Raw genomic sequence first — 25866 nt, forward strand, 5'->3', positions numbered from 1 at the left:
AAATTAAATTACCTCTGTCTGCAGATGACATGATTTTGTATACATAAAATCTTAAAATATTTTACAAAAAAATTAAAATTCAAATGAATTTTAAGGAAAGTTGCAAAACATAAAATTAACATACACAAATCAGTAGCCATCTGAAAAAGAAATCAAGAAAACAATCCCACTTACAATAGCTCTCAAAAATAACATAAACTGCTTAGGAGTAAATTCAACCAAGGAGGTGAAAGATCTGTACACTGAAAACTGTAAAACACTGATGAAAGAAATCAAGGAAGCCATAAATAAATGGAAAGCTATCCCATGATCATGGATTGGAAGAATCAATATTGTTTAAATGTCCATACTACTCAAAGCAATCAACAGACTCAATGCAATCCCTATCAAAATTCCAATGCTATTTTTACATGCATAGAGAAAGCAATCCTAAAATTCACACCAAACCACAGAAGACTCCAGTTACCCAAAGCAATCTTGAGCAAAAAGAGCAAAGCTGGAGGAATCACAACCTGATCTCAAAATATAATAAAAGCTAGAGTAATCAAAACAGCACGGTACTGGTATAAAAACAGACACATAGACAAATATAATAGATTAGAAAAAAATTCATGCATTTATTGTCACGTGATTTTCTTTTTTTAACGTTTATCATACATATTTACTTAATCTATACAGAATCAAGTGGATAAAACCAGATTCACATTAGTGAAAAATCTCTACAAAATGTCTTTGAAAAGCAAAACAAGACTGCCTCTTAACAATTCGTATCCTTATGAAAGACGTGGGCAGTAAATATAAAGCAGTGTGTTTAGCACAAACTGGAAGATATCTGCATCATTTTTTTCACAGTTATTTCCATCTACAGTCTGAAAGAGGTAGATTTTTCTGCAACACCTGAGAATTGAATTGTGATAACCAGGTATAATAAAGGTAGTTGCATACATAACTGAAAAATACTGGTCTCAAGACCAAGAAATGTACTCCTAACAAGTCTGAGGATGAAAAGGTCCATATTACCCAAGACCCAAGTTTTCTCTACACCTTGGAGTCTACTGCCACTATAAATAATGCACATCACGATTCCATGATGGTGCAACAAATGTAATTTAAGTGAATTCAACATTTAAACATTTTCTGGGCCAGCCTAGTAGCATTACAATGTTCTAGAATATGGTAGATATGGGGTGTGCTACAAAGCCACAACACTGGGCTGTTGAGGTATTGTCACGTGATTTTCAACAAAGATGCCAAGAACATATGTGGTGAAAGGACTGTATCTTCAATAAATGGTGTTGGGAAAACTGAATATCCACATGCAGAATAATGAAACGGGACCCTTGTCTCATATTATATACAAAAATCAAGGTAAATTGGACTCCGAATTTAAACGTTAGAGCTGAAACTGTAAAACTACCAGAAGAAAACATAGGGGGAAACATCCATGGCATTGATCTGGGCAATAATTTTTCCGCTATGACCACAAAAGCATGAGCAACCAAAGAAAGAATAGAGAAATGGGATTACGTCAAACTGAAAGGCTTCTGTACAAAGGAAACGATCAACAGAGTGAAGAGGCAACCTATAGAATAGGAGAAAATATTCACAAACTATACATCTGATGAGGAGTTAATATCCAAAATATATAAAGAACTCAACTCAATATCAAGAAAACAAATCACCTGATTTTAAAATGTGCAAAGGATCTGAATAGACATTTCTTCAAAGAAGACATACAAATGGCCAACAGTTGTATGAAAAGGCTCAGCATCACTTATCATCAGGGAAATATCACAATGAGCTATCACTTCACACCTGTTAAAATGGCTATTATCAGAAAGATAAGAGAACAAGTGTTGGTGAGGACGTGAAGAAAAGAGAACCTTTATACACTGTAGGTGGTAATGTAAACTAGTACAACCACTGTGGAAAACAGTATGGAGACTTTTCAAAACACTACAAATAGAACTATCCAGCAATCCCACTACTGGGTATTTATCCAAAAGAAAGGAAATCGGTATATCAAAGGGATACCTACACCCCCATGTTTATTGCAGCACTCATCACAATATCCAAGACATGCAATCAACCTAAGTGTCCATCTGTGGACGAATGGATAAAGAAAATGTGGCATATGTACACAGGAAATATGATTTGGCCACAAAAAGAATGAAATCCTTTCATTTGCAGCAACGTGGATGGAACCAGTGGTCATTAAGTTAGGTGAAATAAGCCAGGCACAGAAAGACAAATACCGTACGTTCTCACTCATATGTGGGAGCTAAAATAGCTGATCTCATAGAGGTAGAGAATACAGTGATAGATATGAGAGGCTGGGAAGGATGTGTGGAATGGGGTCGGGGGGTTGGAAAGAAGAGCAGTTGGTTAATAGGTACGAACATACTGTTGAAAAGAAGGAACAAGTTATAGGCTGGGCATGGTGGCTGACGCCTGTAATCCCAGCACTTTGGGAGGCTGAGGCAGGCAGACGGCTTGAGCTCAAGAGTTCCAGACCACCCTGGACAGTATTGCGAAACCCTGTCTATAAAAATAAAAAATAAAAAAATTAACCCAGCATAGGGGTGCGTGCCTGTCATCCCAGCTATTCTGGAGGCTGAGGTGGGAGGATCGCTTAAGCCCAGGAGGTTGAAGCTGCAGTGAGCTGTGATTGCGCCACTGCACTCCAGCCTGGGGCGACAGAGTGAGACCCTATCTCAAAAACAAACAAACAAACAAACAAAAAACAAAACAAGAAGGAATAATTTCTAATGTTCAGCCACAGAATAGGGTGATTAGAGTTAACAGCAATGTATTGTAAATTTCAAAATAGCCAGAAGAGAGGACTTCAAATGTTCCCAATACATACAAATGAAAAATATTCCAGGTGATGGCTAACCCAAATATCTTGAATTGATCATTACACATTCTATGCACGCAACAAAATATCACATGTACACCATAAATATGTGCAAATATCACGAATCCATTAAAAATTAAAATTAAAAAATTATAAACAGAACTGTCAGTTGATTCAGCAATCCCTCTACTGGATATATGGCCAATGGAAATGAAATGAGTATGTCGAAAATATCTGCACTCGCATATTCATTGCAGCACTGTTCGCAATAGCCAAGACGTGAAATCAACCTAAGAGCCCATCAGTGGATGAATGGATAAAGCACATGTGTATATGTACACAGAATAGAATACTATTGAGACTTAAAAAAAAACAAAAGGAAATTCTGTCATTTGTGACAACATGAGTGAATCTGGAATATATTTTGTTGAGTGAAATAAGCCAGGCACAGCAAGACAAATACTGTATAATCTCACTGGGACGTAGAATCTTAAAAAATCAAACTTTTTAGAAACAGAGGCTAGAATGGTGGTTACCAGGGTCTGGGGCTGGGGAGGATTGGGGAGATATTGGTCAAAGTGTACAAAACTTCATTTAGTCAAGAAGTCTAAGTTCAAGAGATCTATTGTAAACATGGTGACTATAGTTAATGTATATTTGAAAATTGTTGAGGGTAAATTTTAAGTGTTCTCACCACAAAAGATGAAAGGTATGTGAGTTCATACATATTGTAGTTAGCCTAATTTAGCCATTGCACAATGTATACGTATTTCAAAACATCATGTTGTACACTATAAAAATATACAGTCTTGTCAATTAAAAAATAAACAAAAATAAAATACAAAAAATTGAAATAAATTCCGTTTATTCAGTAAAACTGATGTGATACTGGTGAAGATGTGCAGAAACTGGAACCTTTGTGCACTGTTGGTGGGAATGTAAAATGGCACAGCTGCTGTGGAAAACCGTATGGCGGTTACTCAGAAAATTAAAAATAGAATTACCATGTGATCCAGTAATTCCATTCTGTGTCTATATCCAAAAGAATAGAAATCAGAGTCTCAAAGAGATATTTGTACATCCCTGCTCATAGCACCATTATTCATGAGAGCCAAGAGATGGAAGCAACCCAAGTGTCCACTGATGGATGAATAGAGAAACAAAGTATGGTACGTTATTATTTGGCCATTAAAATGAATTATGATTTAGCCCATAAAAAGATGGAATTCTGATAAATGCTACAATGTGGATAAAACTTTAGGACATTATGCTATAAAATGAGTCAGTCACAAAAGGACAAATACTACATGGTTCCACCTGTATAAGGGATCTAAAATATTAAAACTCAAAAACTGAAGGTAGAGTGGCAATTTCCAGAGGCTGGGAGGCAGGGGAAAATGAGGAGTTGTTTAATGGGTATACATATCAGTTTTGCAATTAAAGACATCCTGGAGATTGGCTGCACAGCAATGCAAATATACTTAACACTACTGAACTGAAAACTGAAAAACGCGTAAGATGGTAAATTTTATGTTCTCTGTATTTTAACATAACTCAATAAAAAAGTGGTGTGATTTCTGTCTCTGGAGTGGACCCTGAAGAAAAATATCGATACTATGATGACTCCCATATGTATTTCTTTAGCCCAGAGCCAGACCTTTTTCTACTCAACATCTCCACATGGATACCTAATAGACATCTCAAATTTAAATATCCACAACCAAACTCCTGTCATTAAACACAAGAAGCAAGAAATACCAACATATTTTGTGATTCCACTAATATAAAAGTACAGAACAGTCAACACCAAGCCATATCATTATTATTTCTTGAATTTAACTTTTATTTTAAGTTCAGGGGTACATGTACAGGTTTGTTACACAGGTAAACTTGTAACATGGGGGTTTCCTGTAGAAATTATTTCGTCACCCAGTGATTAAGCCTAGTACCCATTAGTTATTTTTCCTGCTCCTCTCCCTCCTCCCACCCTCCACCATCTGATAGGCCCTGGTGTGTGTTGTTCCCCTCTTTGTGTCCCTGTGTTCTCATTATTTAGTGCCCACTTACAAGTGGGAACATGTGGTATTTGGTTTTTTGTTCCTGCATTAGTTGGCTAAGGATAATGGCCTCCAGATCCAACCATGTTCCTGCAAAGGACCTGATCTAGTTCTTTTTTTATGGCTGCGTAATATACTATGGTGTATATGTACCACATTTTCTTCATCCAGTGTACCATTGATGGGCATTTAGGTTGATTCCATGTCTTTGCTATTGTGAATAATGCTGCAGTGAACATACACTTGCATGTGTGTTGATAATAGAATGATTTATATTCCTTGGGGTATATGCCCAGTAATGAGATTGCTGGGACGAATGGTATTTCTGTCTTTAGGTCTTCGAGGAATCACCACACTGTCTTCCACAATGGCTGAATTAATTTACACTCCACCAACAGTGTATAAGTGTTCCTTTTTCTCTGCAACCTCGCCAGTATCTGTTATTTTTTTACTTTTTAATGATCGCCATTCTAACTGGCGTGAGATGGTAAATCATTGTGGTTTTGATTTGCATTTCTCTAATGGTCAGTGACGTTAAGCTTTCTTTCACAGGATTGTTGGCCGCATGTATGTCTTCTTTTGAAAAAGTGTCTGTTCATGTCCTTTGCCCGCTTTTTAATGGGGTTGTTTGTTGTTGTTGTTTTTTAAACTTGTTTAAGTTCCTTATAGATCCTGGATATTAGACCTTTGTCAGATCCATCATGTGCAAAAATTTTCTCCCGTTCTGTAGGTTATCTGTTCACTCTGTTGATAGTTTCCTTTAGCGGGCAAAGCTCGGTAGTTTATTTATATTCCATTTGTCAATTTTTGCTTTTGTTGTAATTGCTCTTGCTGTCTTTGTCATGAAATCTTTGCCTGTTAGTTTGTCTGGAATATGATTGCCTAGGTTGTCTTCCAGGACTTTTATAGTTTGGGGTTTACATTTAAGTCTTTAATCCATTTTGAGTTAATTTTTGTGTATGGTGTGATATAGTCTGGCTATGTCTCCACCCACATCTCATCTTGAATTGTAGCTCCCATAATCCCCACATGTCCTGGGAGGGATTCGGTGGGAGGTAGTTGAATCATGGAGGCAGATTTTTCCTTTGCTATTCTCATGACAGCGAATAAGTCTCACAAGATCTCATGGTTTCATAAAGGGCAGTTTCCGTGCACATGCTGTCTTCCCTGCAGCCATGTGAGACATGCCTTTGCTCCTCCTTCACCTTCTGCCATGATTATGAGGCCTCCCAAGGAATGTGGAACTGTGAGTCCACTAAACTTCTTTACTTTATAAATTACCCAGTCTCGGTATGTCTTTATTAGCAGCAAGAGAATGGACTAGTACCTGGTGTAAAAAAAGGCATCCAGTTTCAATCTTCCATATATGGCTAGCCAGTTATCCCGGCACCATTTGCTGAATAGGGAATCCTTTCCCCATTGTTTGCTTTTGTCAGGTTTATCAAAGATCAGATAGTTGTAGGTGTGCGGCCTTATTTCTGGGTTCTCTATTCTGTTCCATTGTTTTCCATGTCTGTTTTTGTACCAGTACCATGCTATTTGGGTTATTATAGGCCTGTGGTATAGTTTGAAGTTGGGTAGTGTGATGCCTCCAGCATTGTTTTTTTTTTTGCTTAGGATTGCCTTGGCCGTTCAGGCTCTTTTTCAGTTCCATATGAATTTAAAACAGTTTTTCTACTTCTGTGAAGAATGTCAAAGGTAACTTAATAGGAATTGCATTGAATCTACAAATTGCTTTGGGCAGTATGGCCATTTTAATGATATTGATTCTTTCTATCCGTGAGCAGGAATGTTTTTCCATTTGTTTGTGACATCTCTGATTTCCTTGAGCAGTGTTTTGTAGTTCTTCTTGTAGAGATCTTTCACCTCCCTGGTGTGGTGTGTTCCTGGGTATGTCTGTGTGGCAATTACGAATGGGACTGTGTTCCTGATTTGGCTCTCCACTTGACTGTTGTTGGCGTATAAGAATGTTCGTGATTTTTCACATTGATTTTGTATCCTGAGACTTTGCTGAAGTTGTTTATCAGCTTAAGGAGGTTTGGGGCTGAGACTATGGGGTTTTCTAGATTCAGGATCATGTTGTCTGCAGGCAAACTGTACTATTAAAAGAATGTAATATAGGACATAGGACAAAAAAAAATAGAGGAAAAAGAGGAAAGGATGATCACAAAAGTAAATGTGTTGGTTTCCTCTTGGAGGAGGAATGAGGCTGAGATCAGGCAGAGACACCCCAGGAGCTTTGCGGAATGCTGGTGGTGTTCTCCTCTGTGACATGGGGGTGTTTCTGTAGAGGTGACCTTGATAATCACTGTTAAACAACACACACATATTGTGAACTTCTATGTATGTTACATTTCAAAATAAAGAAAGGCAAAATTGCTAACAACGAATAACACGCATTTGTAGTTAAACACCTCTCACAATCCACAGACATGGAAATAACTGATTAGTTTTCTGTATGTGTAGTTTTCCAGTTTTAAGAATGTCCTACAAATGGAATCACACATTATGTAGCGTTCCATATTTGGTGTCTTTAGCACAATGAAATACATATAACACCTCTAGAACTGCAAAGTACTCTTTCTTGACCTCAGTACTCAATATGTGCTTTCATCACTACACAACAGTTCACTCACAGCCAATTGGTTTTCTAAACTTGTATATATGTATAGTATGCTTTATAAATATCATATAATATTTAACTTTATGTAATTTGTTATATATTGGTAATGGACTTTTCTTAAAAACAGATAGCATTCCTAAGAATACCCAGTACATTTCCACTGCAAAAAAAAGGTACTCCATCATATGAATATATCACAATTAACTGATACAAACTTATGAAAGTAAAAATTTGCATGGTTTCCCCTCAGTATTGTTGAATGGGATGAAAGCTCTATACACTCTTCCTAGGAGACTGCATACACCACCTCCCACAACTCTGCTCACAATTTCCGAAAGTTCATGGACCCCAGGTTGAGAAGCACTGTTCCAGGCCACCTTTCTGTTTTCACAGATGGAGAAATGGAGGTTCTGAAAGGGGAAGTGCTTTTCAGCAGGTTAGGAGAGAGCCAGTTCTTTTGACTCCTCATCTAGTGCTTGTTTTACCTTATTCTACCATCTGTTGTGCCTGTACAGAACTGTACAATACCAAGAGACAACCATCCTGGGTGACCCCAGCACACCACAGGTCCTCTGGATGGAGTAAAGACAATAGCTGCTCCTTCACCCAAGATGCTCTCATGGGTTAATCTGGCTCTAGCTGTAACTGACAGCAAATGGGATATATTATAGTGCTTAGAACTAGTCAAGAGGTTGGGAAGAAGCTGCACCAACTTTGATATCAATCCACATGAGGCCTGCGTATGAGGAGATAGAGTGGTTTCTGCCCTGCTGAAGGACAAAATGGAGACTGAAGAGATGCAGCCTTGAACTATCTGGTGGCCTTGACGTGGCACTGCCCCTCCAGCTCTTAGATTCCTCACTTGCACACTGACCATGAGTTGGCCTGTTAAATTTCTCCAAGAGTTCTTCTAGTTCCAATATTCTGTACTTCTATGATCTTAGAGCAGGAACCATGGAGAAAAAAAATCAGTTGAGGTGTTTGGGTCCTAGAATTATGGACAAAATTATTTTTTCCCTCAAATTTCTTCTAATGGTATGATAGAATTAGCAATAAAGAAAATGTAGTCTAAAGGGATGAAAAAGGCTGGGTGTGCTGCCTCGCACCTGGAATTCCAGCACTTTGGAAGGCTGAGGTAGGAGGATGGCTTGAGCCCAAGAGTTTGAGGCTGGAGTGAGCTATGAGCATGTCACTGCACTCCAGCCTGGGTGAGAAGGTGGGGGCCCTGTCTCAAAGAAAATGTAGATGAAAATTCCCTAACGAGAATCTGAGAAGACCCTTTACTTAAGTAGTAATTTAAAGTAAAGTTTCAAAGTAAGTGGTTCCTTGATTTCTGCTTCTCATTTGCCCTTAAGTAAGTCCTTACAGTTGCTGGACTTCTAAATAATGGAATCAGAGAATGGAGCAGTACTTATCATGGGAAATGCTATTTATCTCTAAGCAGAGGGGTGGCCCCCAGAGAACCAGAGAATAGTTTGTTTGTTGTTTTGTTTTGTTTTGTTTTGTTTTGTGTGTTTGTTTGAGGCAGGGTCTCACTTTGTCATCCAGTCTGGAGTGCAGTGGTGATTTCGTCGGCTCACTGCCAGGCTCTACCTTGCAGGCTCAAGTGATCCTACCCCTTCAGCCCCGCAAGTGGCTGGAACTACAGGCATGCGGCACCACACTTGCCTAATTTTTTGTAATTTTCGTAGAGGCAGGGTTTTGCCATGTTGGCCAGGCTGGTCTCGAACTCCTGAGCTCAAGTGATCCTCCTGCCTTGGCCTCCCAGACAGGCATGAGCCACTGCGCCTGGCCCCAGAGAAGAGTTTTTATTTCATTTCATCAATCGATGAAATAAATAACCACAACATTCTTCCTACTTGACTGTATTAAAGCCACAAATTAGTGTGGAGCCTTCACTCAAGCCACTCTGGAGGAGTACAAGACTAGAAACAAAAGCAGGGGAAACTCATCCTGGGATGGAGGCTGACTTTTTAGGAAAATGCCTCTGGCTTTGCCTATTATTCTGTAGAGGAGTACTTTGTACTTTTACGCTGCTGAAATAGTACTCCATTGTATGAACACACCACAATGTATTGATCCCATCCCATGAAAGTTGCAACAAACAATAAGGCCCCAAAGGGCTGCACACTCCAGCCTGCTATCACTCTGTCTGTCAGGGTCCAGTGCTTTGTGTAGCACATCAGTGGTCTTAGTTGGGCCTGAGGAGAAGAAAGAGGAAGAAAAGAGTTGCTGGGGAAAGCTGTTGGCAAGGTTGGTGTTAAGAAGGAAGTGCCAAGCAGGCAAAGGAGATGCAGCCCATCAGAAGAATTGCCAACCCTGCTTCCACCTTCATTGGCACAAATGGCCCTTTCAATCCCAGCAGCTAACCTTAGAGAAAAGGACAAATTGAAAAGGCATGAAATCACCAGCCGCCGCTACTAGCTTCCCAGCAAACAGCTTAAAACGGCACTGCCCTCACCTGGTCAAATTAATGTATTACATTGAAGGCACATCTTTTTAGATTTTTTTTTGGTCATTTATTTTTCTCCAGTTCTTGGTCCTCCACCTCTGACAGTTAAGTGGATGGGAGGTGACAAATCTCCCCTGAGAAGCTGTATCAAGTTACCAAATTCATGGGGCTCCAGCACAAAATCACAAATTCTGAATGAAAACTTACCATCCAAATATAAAATATTTACTAAAAAGTTAAAATTAATATCACAATTATGTATCATTCCTATGATGTTTAGAGAAATTTATGAGAAGTTGAAAATAAAGCTATTATTATCAATAAACTGATATTACTACTCTCAAGGAGATTTTCTATAAATAGCAAAAATAATTTTGGTTATTCTTCTAGTTATAAAATACTTACCTGTTTAACGCAATGTTATTTCCCTTAGCACTATTTTTTTCTCCGCCTATGGTGGCAGGCAACGTATGGAAAGAAAACATCACAATCTATGTGTATAGTTTAATAAATGATTATCAAGTGCACCTGTACGGGAACACTCCCCTAGGTCCCAGAGGAGAACACCGCCAGCATCCCCCAGAGCCTCCTGGGGTGTCCCTGCCTGAGCTCAGCCCCACTCCTACTGCAAGGGGAAACCAACATCCTGACTTTTCTGATTGTCCTTTCCTTGCTCTTCTCTATGGTTTTATACCCTAAGTATGCATTCTTCAACAAGGTAGGTTAGTGTTGCCTGTCATTTGAAGTTATAGGAATGGAATCATTAAACTTGTCCGTGTTGTTACTTGCTTCTTTCATTCGGTGTTATCTTTGTAAGACTCATGCCTATTATTCAGTAGAGGAGTACTTTGTACTTTCACTTTTTCAGAAAGTTCATAGACCTCAGGTTGAGAAGCACTGTTCCATGCCATCCTTCTCTTTTCACAGATGGAGAAATGGAGGTTCTGAAAGGGGAAGTGCTTTTCAGCAAGTCTGGAGAGAGCCAGGTCTTTTGATTCCTCATCTAGCACTTCCTAGATGAAGTGTTGAAATAGTATTCCATTGTATGAACACACCACAATGTATGGATCCCATGGAAGTTGTAATATTCATTGTTTCCCATATTTGGAACTGGATGATTACAAAAATACTACTCATAAACCCTTGTTGGCACAAGCAAAGGAGTCCTGAGGGGGACGTGTAGGCTGCTAAAAGCACATATTTAAAAGAGTGTATTAGCCTGTTTTCACACTGCTTATAAAGACATACCCCAGACTGGGAAGAAAAAGAGGTTTAATTGGACTTACACTTCCACATGCCTGGGGAGGCCTCAGAATCATGGCGGGAGGTGAAAGCACTTCTTACATGTTGGCGGCAAGAGAAAAGGAGGAAGAACAAAAAGTAGAAACCCCTGATAAACCCATCGGATCTCATGAGACTTATTCACTATCACAAGAATAGCACAGGAAGGACCAGCCCCCATGATCCAATTACCTTCCCCTGGATCCCTCCCACAACATGTGAGAATTCTGGGAGATACAATTCAAGTTGAGATTTGGATGGGGACACAGCCAAACCATATCATTCTGCCCCGGCCCCTCCAAATCTCATGTCCTCACATTTCAAAATTAATCATGGCTTCCCAACAGTCCCCCAAAGTCTCAGCTCATTTCAGCATTAACCCAAAAGTCCACAGTTGAAAGTATCATCTGAGACAAGGCAAGTCCCTTCCGCCTATGAGCCTGTAAAATCAAAGCAAGCTAGTTACTTCCTAGATACAGTGGGCATACAAGTATTTGGTGAATACAGCCATTCCAAATGGGAGAAATTGGCCAAAATAAAGAGGTTACGGGGCCCATACAAGTCCAAAATCCAGCAGGGCAGTAAAATTTTAAAGCTCCAAAATTATCTCCTTTGACTCCAGGTCTCACATCTAGGCCACACTGATGCAAGAGGTGGGTTCCCGTGGTCTTGGGTAACTCCGCCCTTGTGGCTTTGCAGGATACAGCCTCCCTCCTGGCAGGTTTAACGGGCTAGCATTGAGTGTCTGCAGCTTTTCCAGGAGCACAGTGCAAGCTGTCAGTGGATCTACCATTCTGGGGTCTGGAGTACAGTGGTCCTCTTCTCACAGCTCCGCTAGGCAGTCCCCCAGTAGGGACTCTGTTTGGGGACTCCGATACCACATTTCCCTTCTGCACTGCCCTAGCGGAGGTTCTCCGTAAGGGGCCCGCCTCTGCAGCAAACTTTTGCCTGGGCATCCAGGCATTTCCATACATCTTCTGAAATCTAGGCAGAGGTTCCCAAACCTAAATTCTTGACTTCTGTGCAGCCACAGGCTCAATACCTGATGGAAGCTGCCAAGGCTTGGGGCTTCCACCCTCTGAAGCCACAGCCTGAGCTCTACACTGGCCCCTTTCAGACATGGCTGGAGTGGCTGGGACACAGGGCATCAAATCCCTAGCTGCACACTGCACGGAAACCCTGGGACCAGCCCATGAAACCACTTTCATGGGCCTCCAGGCCTGGGATGGGAGGGGCTGCCTTGGAGGTCTCTGACATGGCCTGGAGACATTTTCCCCAGGGTCTTGGGGATTGACATTAGGCTTCTTGCTCCTTGTGCAAATTTCTGCAGCCGGCTTGAATTTCTCCTCAAAAAATTGGTTTTTCTTTTCTACTGTATTGTCAGGCTGTAACTTTTCTGAACTTTTATGCTCTGTTTCTGTTTTAAAACCGAATGCTTTTAACAGCACCCAAGTCACCCTTTGAATCCTTTGCTGCTTAGAAATTTCTTCCACTGGATACCCTAAATCATCTCTCTCAAGTTCACAGTTCCACAAATCTCTAGAGCAGGGGCAAAATGCCACGAGTCTCTTTACTAAAACCTAACAAGAGTCACCTTTACTCCAGTTCCCAAAAAGTTCCTCATCTCCATGTGAGACCACCTCAGCCTGGACCTTATTGTCCATATCACTATCAGTATTTTGGGCAAAGCCATTCAACAAGTCTCTAGGAGGTTCCAAATGTTCCCACATTCTCCTCTCTTCTTCTGAGGCCTCAAAACTGTTTCAACATCTGCCTATTACCCAGTTCCAAAGTTGCTACCACATTTTCAGATATCTTTTCAGCAACGCCCCACTCTACTGGTACCAATTTAGTAGATTAGTCAGTTTTTACACTGCTGATAAACACATACCAAGACTGGGAAGAAAAAGAGGTTTAATTGGACTTACAATTCCACATGGCTGGGGAGGACTCAGAATCATGGCGGGAGGTGAAAGGCACTTCTTATGTGGTGGCGGCAAGAGAAAAGGAGGAAGAAGCAGAAGTGGAAACTCGTGATAAACCCATTAGATCTCGTGAGACTTATTCATTATCACAGGAATAGCATGGGAAAGACCGGCACCCATGATTCAATTACCTTCACCTGGGTCTCTCCCACAAGACATGGGAATTCTGGAAGACACAATTCAAGTTGAGATTTGGGTTGGGGACACAGCCAAACCATATAAAATAGGACAGCATACAATTAATGAGAAAAAGTTACAAGATAAGACCAACTAAAGTAGAAGGAAATAATCAAGGTAAAAGCAGAAATCAGTGAAAGGGGAAGTAAGCATAAGGATCACAAAACCAGTTGGGTGTTTGGAAGAAGAATGAAATTGGTAAAACTCTTTTGAGACTGGTCAAGAAAATAAGGGGGAAGGGCACAGCTATCAGGAAAGAAAAGGGAGAAACAAGCACAAATGATGTTACGTCCGCTCTCGTGCTGCTATAAAGAAATACCCAAGACTGAGCCATTTATACAGAAAAGCTCAGGGTTCTGCAGGTTGTACAGGAAGTGTAGTGACTTCTGCTTCTGGGAGGACTCAGGAAGCTTGCTATCATGGCGGAAGGCGAAACAGGAGCAGGTACGTGTTACATGGTAGGAGCAGGAGCAAGAGAGAGAGCAGGGGGAGGTGTCACACACTTTTAAACAACCAGACTCATGAGAACTCACTCGCCACCATGAGGACAGCACCAAGTGGATGCTGCTAAACCATTCCTGAAGATTCAGCCCCATGATCCAGTCACCTCCCACCAGGCCCCACCTCCAACATTAGAAGTTACAATTTGACATGAGACTTGGTGGGGACACAGATCCAAACCATATCATATGCAAGCATCCAAAAGATACAAAGAGGATATTGTGTGGGTACTGGATATTCACACAGTGCTCATGCAGTAACAGCACATGGCTAATTCAATACAAAGAAAAGATGGCACCTTCACAATGGAGTAATTTGGAACAGTGCCCTGACCACATGGTCAAGATGAACATCACCTGTCATAAGACAAACCAACATGGAGAATCTGCTGAAGTCATGCTCCAAGAAGGCCAGCACATCTACTACGGAGTAGTCCTGCCAAAAATGTTAAACCTACCTGAGTCTAATCACAAGGAAGACATTCAACAAACCCAAGTTCAAGGGCTTCCTGACAACTGCACTGGTTTAAAGCAAATTTTAAACATTGCTTTAAAGCACACTTTAAAGGACACTGAAGAGACTTGACGGGCCAGGCACCATGGTTCACGCCTGTAATACTAACATTTTGGGAGACCCAGCTGGAGCTCAGGAGTTCCAGACCAGCCTGGGCAACACAGTGAAACCAAGTCTCTACAAAATATATTTTAAAAATTAGCTGGGCATGGTGGTGCATGCCTGTAGTCCAAGCTACTCAGGAGGCTGAGGCGGGAAGATAGCTTGAGCCTGGGAGCTCAAGGCTGCAGTGGGCTGGGTTTGCGACACTACACGCCAGCCTGGGTAACAGAGGGTGACCCTGTCTCAAAAGAGACTTGACAACTAAGTGCAAAGCATGATGTTTGGTTGGAAAGAGAATTTTGTTAGAAAGCAGCTATGAGGGATACTATGGGACCATGGGGACAATCGGAAAATGTTTCATGTGATCATACAGTAGAAAATTGTGTGGTCTCAATGTTACATTTCCTGAGTGTGATGAAGGCATTAAGGTTTTGTGAAAGACCATGCTTTCTCGTAGGTGATACATGCTACAGTATTTAGGGATGATGGATCTTAATGATTCAAATGGATCTCAAATGATTCCACAAAATAATGGAAAATATGCGCACACACAGAGAAAGACAGGGGATGGGTTGGAGGGAGGGATAAAGCAAATGTGAGAAAATGTTAAAAACTGCAGGATCCAGTAGAAGAATATACGTATGAGTGCTCCTTGTGCTTTCCCTGCAACTCTTCTGTGGCTTTGAAATTTAAACAAATGCAATCTGAGATGAAGGGGGATATTATGGACCATTTTATTCCAGTCAGTTTGAAAACAAAGAAAAAGGTCGCCAATCGCTAGGAAACAAAACCTGCCAAAACTGACACAAGAAAGAACAGCCAACCTGAACCGTTCCAGAATCATTACAGAAAGATATGAGTAGTCAAAGGCTTTCCACTAACAAACTCCAGGATTCCCCACCACATTCTGAAAAACATCCTAGGAATATGTCTCTTCCGTTTGACACAAACTCGTGCAGAAAATTGAAAAAGAGGAACAATCCTCAACTCACTCTATGAGCTTGGCATAACCTCAACACCAAATACTTCAAGGATACTTAGAGAAACATTGCAGATCAATCACATGCTCATGACATAGAAACAAAAACCAGAACCAGAATCTTAGCACACAGAAGCCTACAGGACATAAAAAGGAAAATACCTAATGTGGCATGACAAATATTAGCTTCATCCTAGAAATATGAACTTAATTTCCTTTCAGAAAATAAAATGCTATAATTCTCCACATTAACAGATTAGGGGAGAGAAACATGCTCTTCGTAGTCACAAAATTATTGACTAAGTGTCAATTTCCTTTCGAGATGTATTGCTGACAATTTTTTTTTCTAAAAAGTCAGGACTATTGGGCTATAACTTACACACAGGTCTACGGAATTTTCTAAATGCATACAGCTGTGGAAACACCATCACAAGATATATAGATATAGAGCATCGCCATCCCCGCCAGGTTCCCTCGCGCCCTCTGGTAGTGAACTCCTGGTCTTAACCCTCAGACCCTGGCAACCACCAATCTGTTTTCTGCTCCTATAGTTTTTGCCTTTTCCAGAATGTCATATAAATGGAATCACATAGTAGGTAGCATGTGCATTTGGCTTCCTTTAGGGAAAGACATTCTGACCGCAACTCTCCGAAGCTGCAATGTACAGATTCATAACCTGGGTAGTAGTTACGTGGCTTGATCACCTTATAACTATTTGTCAAATGGTCAACTTCTGAGTTCTCTCCGTGTGTGTGTGTGTGTGTTTGTACGTGTGTGTGTGTGTATTGTTTCAAAAATATAATTTTACATTTAACTGCCTCTAACTTTTATATCTTGGTGAGGGTTATTAAATGGAAATTATTAATCCTTTAAAAGAAAGTGAGTGATTATTGGGAAAGTCAGCAGAGTGATTACTTCTGGAGGAGTATGCAAAACGGGAAGTAGTGATCAGGGTGGGGCCAGCAAGAGGGCTCCAACACCCTGCCAGCCTTCTGCTCCTTGCTCTGCATGGTAGTGACCTGGACTTCAACATTGCACAACCACAGGGGAGCAGTTCATGCTGGATCATCTGAACTGGGCACCCTGGATTCCTGCATATAGTGTTTGCATGGCCACCCTGGTGGCCACAGCCTACGCGGCCGTACCTGGCAAACATGAGTGTTGGCTTCATCCTTCAAGGAAATGGATGATGAGAAAAAGTGTGGGAGAAAGGAAGAGATCTTGGCGTGCAGGTTGAGGACAGATGGGCATGAGGTTGTCCGAGTTCACCCAGGATTGTGTTCCAGGCAGGCTAAAGTTCATCCTGTTACTCACCAAGACCACTATGATCCTATGATTGCCATCTCACATTCCCGTGTGCAGTGCCCTGAGACTCCACCACAGCCTGGACGGCCACCCTTGGGGACTCTGTCTGGCATGTGTGTGAGGAGACTCACACACCTTCAAACCCAGCTGGAGCCTGAAGGGGAGATGCTCTTTTCGGCCAATGGAGTAAGAGGTCTCATCTGGAAATGTACCTGTGGCAGCCCTGGCACCGGGTGTAGGTGGGATTCTGCTCAGGGCTGCGCCACTGTGGCTGCATCAAGGGCAGGCACGCAGCTCGGCAGACCTCTGGAGCCCGTCTGAGCTGAGTGGCAGGACAAGGCAGGAGGGGGTCTAAGGCTCTCCAGGCCGGACCCCACATTCCTCTTGGTGAGAGAGGAGACTTGAGAGAAAAGCAAGAGGGAGGCACTAAATGAGGGGAGGGGTTCAACCTCCTCTCCACTGGGGCCCAAATGGATTCCTCTAATCTGAGGAGCCTCAGATTCTGCACTTATTTCCCATAGAACTGGAAGGCTCTGCCCGACCATGGCCTAGGGTATACATGTTACAGCCCCATTATTGTGCAGAAGGTGGTCTGAATATGGAACCGAGGTGGTGTGCTGAGAGGCGGGGCTGCCAAATCCAGCCACCGAGGGATGGGTTCTCGCCTTCCACGACTCCGTCCACAGGCTTCTCCCCTTCCACACCCTGTTGACCATGGCCCATGGCCCCCGGGGCAGTGCCTGGGGCTGGAGTTCTCACCCAACCAGAACCTGCGTAGGTGTCTCCAGTGGCAAAAACCCAAGCTGGAGAGTTCCTAACAGACGTCCTCCCCAGATCTCAGCCCGCTGTGTTATCCTCCCAAGAAACAACCATCTGTGTCAGGGTCAAAGCCTTGGCCCAAGGAATCAAGCCAACCATCTCAGGCTAGGGGTTTGAGGCGGATAGCATAGGTCCCCACCACCATTGGTTTCCAGCTCTGAGCCCTGTGATTGGCCCACCACATGCGTGATGGTCCCCCTCACTGAGCTCACACCACGAGCCCAGCAGGGAGACACAGAGAGAGTATGGGGGAAGGCAGGTACCGAACCCGACCAGCTGTCCCAGGGCAGTCCCGCTTTCCCGCTTTCCACCCTCACTGTCTGTCTTGCCCGTGTCTCCGTTAGCTGGCGTCGTGGCACCCTCCCATGGGGGCTCCCCACTTCCTAGACGAGGCACCAACCAGCGACTCTGAGGTATTATCACTGCACCCACACACGGGAGTGCTGAGACATCCCATCCATCCCGCGGAGGATCGGGAGCCTACTGTGGCACCTCCAGCATTCTGAGAGCCCCAACACCCATCTCTGTGTTTGGAGAAGTCCCATTTGTCCCACTCCACAGCCTTCCAGGTGTTAGAATTGAACAACACGTCTTGTAAAAAGTGGATCCCAGCCCTGCTTTTGCGCATTGCATCCTTCAGGTATCCTTCATCACTGCCTCCACTCTGTCAATTAGCCCTTTCTCCCTCAAGGGACAGCACCCATGATTAATTTGATTCCCAAGCAGGTGCTTGCAGGGGCACACGCACACATACACACGCTAACCTTGAATGGTATCTGCATTTCTATTGTCTTCGTCTGTTCAACACCCAGTCTCTTAGAGATGGGAGCTGGCAGAACATACACACACCCCCTCACTGGAACCAGAATCTGTGCCCGAATCTGGAGCCTGCCCAGCCCAGGATTCTGGCTGAAGGAAGCAGGTGATCCCAACTGTCAGGGAGGGTGAAGGAAGAACAGGGAACCCAAGGAAATCTCGTGTGACCTCGAGAGGCGGTCTGAAAGACTAACCAGGGATGCGGAAATATCACGTCCACGAAAACCTGAGACTTGCCCTGGAAGGCAGCTTGCCATTTTCAAATCAAGGGTATGGAGTCGACTGGCTGCAGAAGGGGCTGTTGGCCACCTATAGGACACCAAGGATGAGAAAGCCACCTTCCGTGTAGCAGTTTCTACCAGGTTGGCTCACAGGCACCAGAACAGACTCAGTGCCCCCACCTCCAACCAAGAGACTACCCTGCCCTTTTCTTCGGCACTCCATGTACCTTCCCTTTGGCTCAGCCACCCACAGGGATGTGGCTTCTGCCTCCACCTGGCTACTGAAACGAAGGAGGAGACCTGATGGGATTTGGTAACTGAGATTCAAATATGAGGGCTAAGAGGAACTGATGATGCCACCCGGTTTCTGGCCCAGATGACCTGACCATGTGTGTGGTGGCACCAGAGGGACATAATGGCTCCAGAAAGGGGACTGGTCTCCTGAGTGGGAGGATAAGCTCCAACGTGTTCCTCAACAGCACGGAAATAACCGTGCAGGAAAGACCACCGGCGTCAAGCCACGTGGGAGAGCAAGGATGCTCACAACGGAAAGGACAGTGACAGGGTAGAACCGGGACAGTGAACTGCAGGAGAAAAGGAGAGAAAGACCACGGTTCTAGGAGGGCATCAGTTCCTGTAGAAGGGGAGGGAAAATAGCGCTGAAGAAGGGGACTTGTGAGACCCCGAAGTAGGAGGAGAAAAGGTGAGACCATGAGCAAGGCGTGTAAGGTAAAGGCAGGAAATGCTGCTGTGGCCAGGCAGGGCCCCCACAGCACCTAGACCCAGGGCACTATGATGAGCCCGAGTGCAGGGCTGCTGCTCAGAGGCCAGCCCAGGAGTCCCCCAGGGAGAGGGCCCACCACAGAGCAACAGGGGAATTGTTCTTCAAGCGCCAGGGAAGGCAGCAACACACCGAATCCCCCAACACTCCCAACAATCGCAGAGAAGGCAGACCACAGACCACAGAATATGAGAACGACTTTATTTCACACTGCTTTGAACTGCGTTGGGAAGGGGGCAAATGCAGCGGAAGAGAAAAAGCCCTGGCTAAGGAGGATAAGGAGGAAACTCGCTTGGCTGCAGCTCCGGACGCTGGCTCCAACCTGTGAAACAGAGCAGGCTCAGGGACGGGCCCCCAGCCAGGGCCAGCCCACAGCCCTCCTAAGCTACCGGGATTGTGGGAAGGGGCATGGTGTGTGCAACACTTACTTCAAAGGTCCTGGAACTTGTCAGTGAAGGACTGCATGGCCGCTGAAACAGAGAGGCAGAACCGGGCACTCCAGACCCAGGGAAACAGAAACTCACCCCCTGCCCCCGTGGGGAACCACCTAGCCCTGCAACCAGAAACCCCACCAGCCCTGGGACTGACTCATCCACCCGTCACCTGAATTAAATGTGGAAATGCCTTCTAAGCGGGAAAGTGGTTCTCAGGTGCTGGGGCATCCCAGAACCGTTCAGAATATGTTTCAAAGACAGATAAGCCAGCCAGCAAGCAAACACCATATAAGCCTTACCAGGCAGCAGTTAAAGGGAAAACACATGCAGTATCTCTAACTGTCCTAAGAGAAGATCTCTGGGACTCATGGACAAAGTGTACACAGAGTTCAGACGACACATTGCTGTCTGTGCACACCCCTAGCTGGAAAGGCACAGAAGGCTCCAGGGCCAGGGTTTGCTTGGTTCTCTTCCCCAAAGGAAAGTCAGTCCCAGTGACGCTTCCTGTATCTGCAGCCCACCCCCGCCCCCGGCACCTGCAGAAAGACACTGCTGTCCATCCCTGCCCCGGCCAGGGCTCCGTCATACCTAGTTGCTGTGTAAGGTCATCAATTTCCCTCTGCAGCTGGATGCACTAGACCAGCAGACACCAGAGGAAGAAAAATGGTTAGTCAATTCTGGTCTGCTCTCTCCCCGGCCTCCGTCTCTCCCCCAGCCCTTACAGACCCCATAGCCTGCAGCCCAGTGGTGAGGTGGGTTGGCACAGAATCCTCAATGGAAAGGAGGCACCCTCTGTCCGTGGGGTGTGGAAGGTGGAGGCGGGGGGTTGGGGGACACAGAAGTCAATTTAACCTGGACATGGATGCCACCATCTAGTGTGGACCTCTATTTCTAAGAGCCACACAAAGCATTACCCAAGGACAGCCCTGGGCTCCCAGGGGCTGCTGCTGCCTTTCCGGTCTTGGAGGATGGACAGGTGGCAGCTGGTCACCTGAAAGAGAACACAAAACCCAGCTTCCAAGACTCCCAGTGAGTTGGAAAAGGCCTAGCAGGGTCTAAAGTGAGGCACCATCACCCTCTGCTGGCAACACATTGCCCCTGCTCTGCCCAGCAACTCCAACAGACTGTCCCAGAGACAGTCCTCTGGGACTGCCTTCACTGTTCCCCAGTGTGAGCCCATCTGCACCTGTGGCCCCCTAGCGTTGTGACTCCGGGTTGGACTCCAGCAGCGCGGCAGCCACAGCCAGGCCCTGGGAGGGCCAGTGTGGCTGAGCAGGACTTAACAGAAAAGGGCTCAGTACTGCGGAAAGTCTCCTTCCAGAGCTGGAGTGTGGGGCACTGCTCCAAATCGCCCCCCACCACACAAACCCCACTCAGAGAGGACGATGTGGCTTAAAGCCAGCCCCGTCAACACCCCGTTTCCCCGTGGGACAGCTGCCTGGGTGGGCAGGGAAGCCTGGGAACAAGGCTGAGCCCCCAGAAGCGACAGAGCCAGAGGTTTCCCTCCCGACCCCTCTCCCCTCCACCCCTATCAAACCCGCAAGACTCACCGGAGGGTGCATGGCGTCTGGGCACGAGGCCTCCCGGGCTGCAGGCCGAGGGCTCTGAACTTCCCAGAATTTGGGGAGTTCTGATGATGGGGTCGCCACTGTTGAATTCTCCATGACGCACAGACAGGCGAGGCAGCCCTGGCCTGTGTGTGGGAAGCTAAAACAGAAATTTCTGAGTCAGGCTGGTGGTGGGGGTGGGTGGTGAGTACATGTTGGGAGGGATTGTGGTAAAATGGAGACTCCGTAGCCTAATCTCATTAGCACTTTCTACCTTAGTCAGCCCCAGGCCAGGAGGCAGAGGCCAGCCAGGGAAAACACTAGGGATACTGAGATAGCCCGGGCCGCCTGCCAGGTGGCTCAGGCAACAGCTAAGAAAGGAGGAATCAGGAAGTTGATGAGCCTAGGTGCCCCAGCTTTGCAGCCTACACTTTAAGAGCTCACCCCATCCAAATCAGCTGCCAGCCCTGCCTTCCGTCCCAGCTCCTCCATGGAGGAGGAAGCAGGACCCCTGCCGAGTGTCCACAGGCATGCCGGTCACATACCAAGTGCTCCCCTTAACGTGTGCCCCTACGACGAAGACCCCGATAGGGCATTCTAGTGTGCCTGGGCTCCTGATGACAACCCTGGAGCAAGGGACAGAGGGGACATGGGTAAACAGGCGTGTGCTGGAAGAGAGGAGGCGTGGGGGGAGACCAGAGGAGTAGGAGGGTGAAAAGGGAGAGGAGGGTGAGAAGTCCCAAGGCTTACTTCCGTGGGACCTTGGGACCTCATCTCTATTTGGGTCATTATCTTCTCTGGCCGCAGCCTGGGACTCCCTGGTCTTCCTTCCTGCTGATTTCTTCCCAGGGCTGCTGTGCTTAGGCTTTTAGGGTTTCTTGGACATCCCCTGCGGCCGCACACCAGACAATAGCGGGAAGGTGGCCGTTTCTGGGGGAGTGGCTGAGAGTTTCTCTCCGCAGGCAGGAAAGGCTCTTCCCGGGGCCAGTTGAGAGGCACCCCCTAGGGACTTCTTCTCCTGGGCTATCTTCCTTCTTGAAGGGCCCCGGGGCAGGGCCCCTCCAGCGGCAGCTCCTGAGCAGCTGGGCCTGACCTCCACCTTTCCCCAGGCCCTGCTCTGCATTTTCTTCTGGCAAGAGTCCTCCAGCTCTCCCATAGCCGGCCTCTCTACTACTGGAGCGAGTCCGGGGGGAGCAGAGGTCAGGAAAAGGCCCAGCACGGGCAGGTAACTCTCCTTGCAGTGGAAGCTTGCGTGTCTGGATGTGTCTGCTGGCTTCTTGGGGCTGCAGGGCTTGGCCTGGCTTCCTTCGTTGCGGCGAATGCCCACCCTCATCAGCGGTAAGTCGCTGCTCTCATCTGGGGAATCAGAGTCGTGCCCCGCGGGGCCTTTCACGGAGGGCTGCTGGGGATCCACGTGGCCGCTCAACCTGCTCTTCGAGCCGCTTTTCCGGGTTCTCCCAGGCCCGGCCTGGCCCAGGACCACTAAGGTGGAGAGGGCCTGCAGAGGCCTGCTCCCATTCTCCAGGGCTGGGGCCCAGGGCGCCTCTCCCACTGGGATCGACCTCCAGGTCCGCCCAGATGTCAGCGGACCCTTTGGCAGCGGCGCTTTCTGAGGACTTGTGTCCCTGGACGCTGGGCGGCGGCACGATGACAGCTGGCTTGTCAGCCAGGTAGGACGAGTAGTCCACACGGTCCCCTTGGTTGTCGACTGCGGTGTCAGACCGGCCTTCCCAGCCCCAGAGCACCACCCTTCCCTGCTCTGTCAATTCGCTCTCAGAATCGAAGCTGAAGCCCTCGGGATCTGTTGCCCGCTGTTGCCCTCGCCCTCGCCCTTGCTGCTGTGCAGCACCCCCAAATCGAGATCGTGGTTATTCCCGTGGCCCCAAGGGGCTCCTGAAGTGGCCATGCCAGCGCCAGCCTGCTCGCCACCCTCCGGCCCAAAACCGGCCCCCCAAAGGGACACCTCGTCTGGGGAGCTCCTGGCGCCAGTCCAGGCAGCCTGGGCTGTGGCGAGACGGTCGTCCTGGTAGCGGTGGGAGGGAAGAGCCAAGCCCAGCCAAGCCCAGCCAAGCCCAGCCAAGGGGGCCACGCGACAGGAGCAGCAAGGCCTGCAGGTCACTGCCATCCTCTCCCTAGGCGGCAGTAGGAGATGTCCTCGACATCGGTGGCTTCTGTGCACCCTGGAAGCCTGCACCGTGCCTTCTCATTGGTCCACCCTCTGCCAACCAGTGCTCCCTTTGTTTGGCGGGGCCTCTGGGCTTTAACCAGTCGGGACACAGGCTCTTGGTTTGCCCCGACGCCTGTCATTCGACTGGGTGGCTGTGCTCAGGTCGGGTCTTGGGGCCAGGGTGCATTGGAGCTCTCCATCCATCTCTTTCTTCCTGTCCTGTCGCCTCTGGCCAGGCACCTACTTTCCAATGAGAGCCGCATCTCTGAGCCCCAGTGTCCCATCTGTAAGGCAGGAGTCAATGGGAGTGCCACCCCCAGCTCATCAGCTTGGGAGAGTAAATGTCGTGATGCACGCCAATCACCCGGCGCACAGGAGCTTCAAGCCTGCGTTCCACACTAAGAGGTAGCACCTGATAGGAACATGGACAGGGAGGCCCACAGTCAAGAAGCAGAAGTTTCAGGGTTGTTTCTGCTAGTGCTGCGAAAAACCCCGTTGTCATTTTCCTAGGGACTTACCACGCTGAACCTGTAACGGCTTTGGGTGGCACGGACGTGTTAACTGTCTTCTCGACCATGAGCACAGGATGTGTCCCCATTTATTTGTCTTCTGAGTCTCTCATCAGTGTTTGGTCGGTTTCATTATGCACACCTTTCACCTCCCTGGATAAATGTATTCCGAAGGGTTTTGTTCTTTTCCTGGTATTCTAAATATGTTGGTTTCCCGCGTGTCTTTTTTTGGATAATTTGCTGTTAGGGCATAGAAATGCCAGTGATTTTCGCATGTTGCTTTTCCATTCTGCAATTTTGCTGACTTTGTCTATTGGCTTTGAACGTTTTTTGGTGCAGTGTATGCTAGGGTTTTTTTCCATGTGAGATCATGTCATCTGCAGGCAGAGATAATTGAGCTTCTTACTTTGCAATTTGGATGCCTTTTTTTTTCTTTTTCTTAGAATAGGTGATCAAATTGGCACGTGGCTGTGTGCCCACAAGGGTTGATTGGCCTGTGGGTATGGTGGTTTGGCAGGCCAGAGCTTTCCCACCTCTCCCAGCCTCCCCAAGCCCACTGTCGTTTATTCAACGAAGCCGGAAGTCCAACCAATGGTCTAGGATACCCCAAAGATGCTCACCATCACTCACCTTAAAGGTGCAAACTAAAATCAAAACTCAATTTACACACGGCAGGTTTGTGACTCTTAGAGAGCTTAACCATTCCGGGGGTAGGAGAGGTCCTGAGCAAACCAGTGCATTTGCTCACTTGCTGGGGGAAAGGGGGAGGGCGGCCACTTGGGAGGGTAATTTGGCAGGATCCGTGAAACTCAACTTATGCATCATTCACTATGTGCCTGGCTGTCTTCTGGGCCTTATCGCTACATGTTAACTCATACTCGGGACAGTTTTAGGTGGAAGTACCTGCTATTGCCACCTTCTTACAGGTGGAGAAGTGGGCACAGAGAGGTTCAGGACTTGCTCAAGGTCATTTGTTTGGCTGGTGGGTGTCAGCTGCAGGTCAGAAACCAGGCAGGTGGGCTCCATGGAGTTCGTGCTTAGAGCTGAGCCTCCTAAAACTGCAAAACACATTTGCAAGGCTGTTAAATCCCACGACACCAGAAAGTGCCTGTAGTCGAGTAGACTTGCTTATCTAGTCATATATTCCAGCCCCTTGATCCAGCCTCTTAAAGTCCATTCGCGGGGTATTTCCCTGTCTCCTGCCTGTACAGGCTATCTCTTGCTTGGCATATAATCTCCATTCTCCCTTTATCCGGCTCAGCATCACCCAGCGAGGTGACAGAGAGCATATGGGGCAGCCCCTGAGGGAGGCACCCTTGGCTTTGTGGGGCCCAGGGCTGTGTAGCACCTACCAGCATGGGGTCCGGGGTAGCTCTTGCTAGGACAGGAAGGCTCACCTTTCACACACTCCATCCAGCCATCCCCATCCCATAGTTCAGGTGACTGGGTTTCTCCAAACACGGCCCTGACCTTAGCATAACAGGCCTGTGTTGCTTGAGGGTGCCATCATCTCTGGAGTTCTGTGTCATTTGCTATCAAATTATGTTGATGTGGTGCTCCTCAGTTGTGTCTGCTCGTCTTCTGCAAGAGGTGAGGCTCTTCTTGGAAGCAACCAAAGAGGCCTTTTGGGTCTTACACTACAATAAATACCTAACTTTGGCCCGGCGTGGCGGCTCACGCCTGTAATCCCAGCACTTTGGGAGGCTGAGGCCGGTGGATCACCTGAGGTTGGGAGTTCAA

The 25866-nt window shown here is 46.3% G+C and overlaps 1 pseudogene; it reads right to left on the bottom strand.

The window, feature by feature from the left end:
* Positions 19654 to 23569, bottom strand: LOC100289206 (chromosome X open reading frame 49 pseudogene; annotated as a pseudogene).

Source organism: Homo sapiens, chromosome X, assembly GCF_000001405.40.
Source record: "Homo sapiens chromosome X, GRCh38.p14 Primary Assembly".
Taxonomy (NCBI): Eukaryota; Metazoa; Chordata; class Mammalia; order Primates; family Hominidae; genus Homo; species Homo sapiens.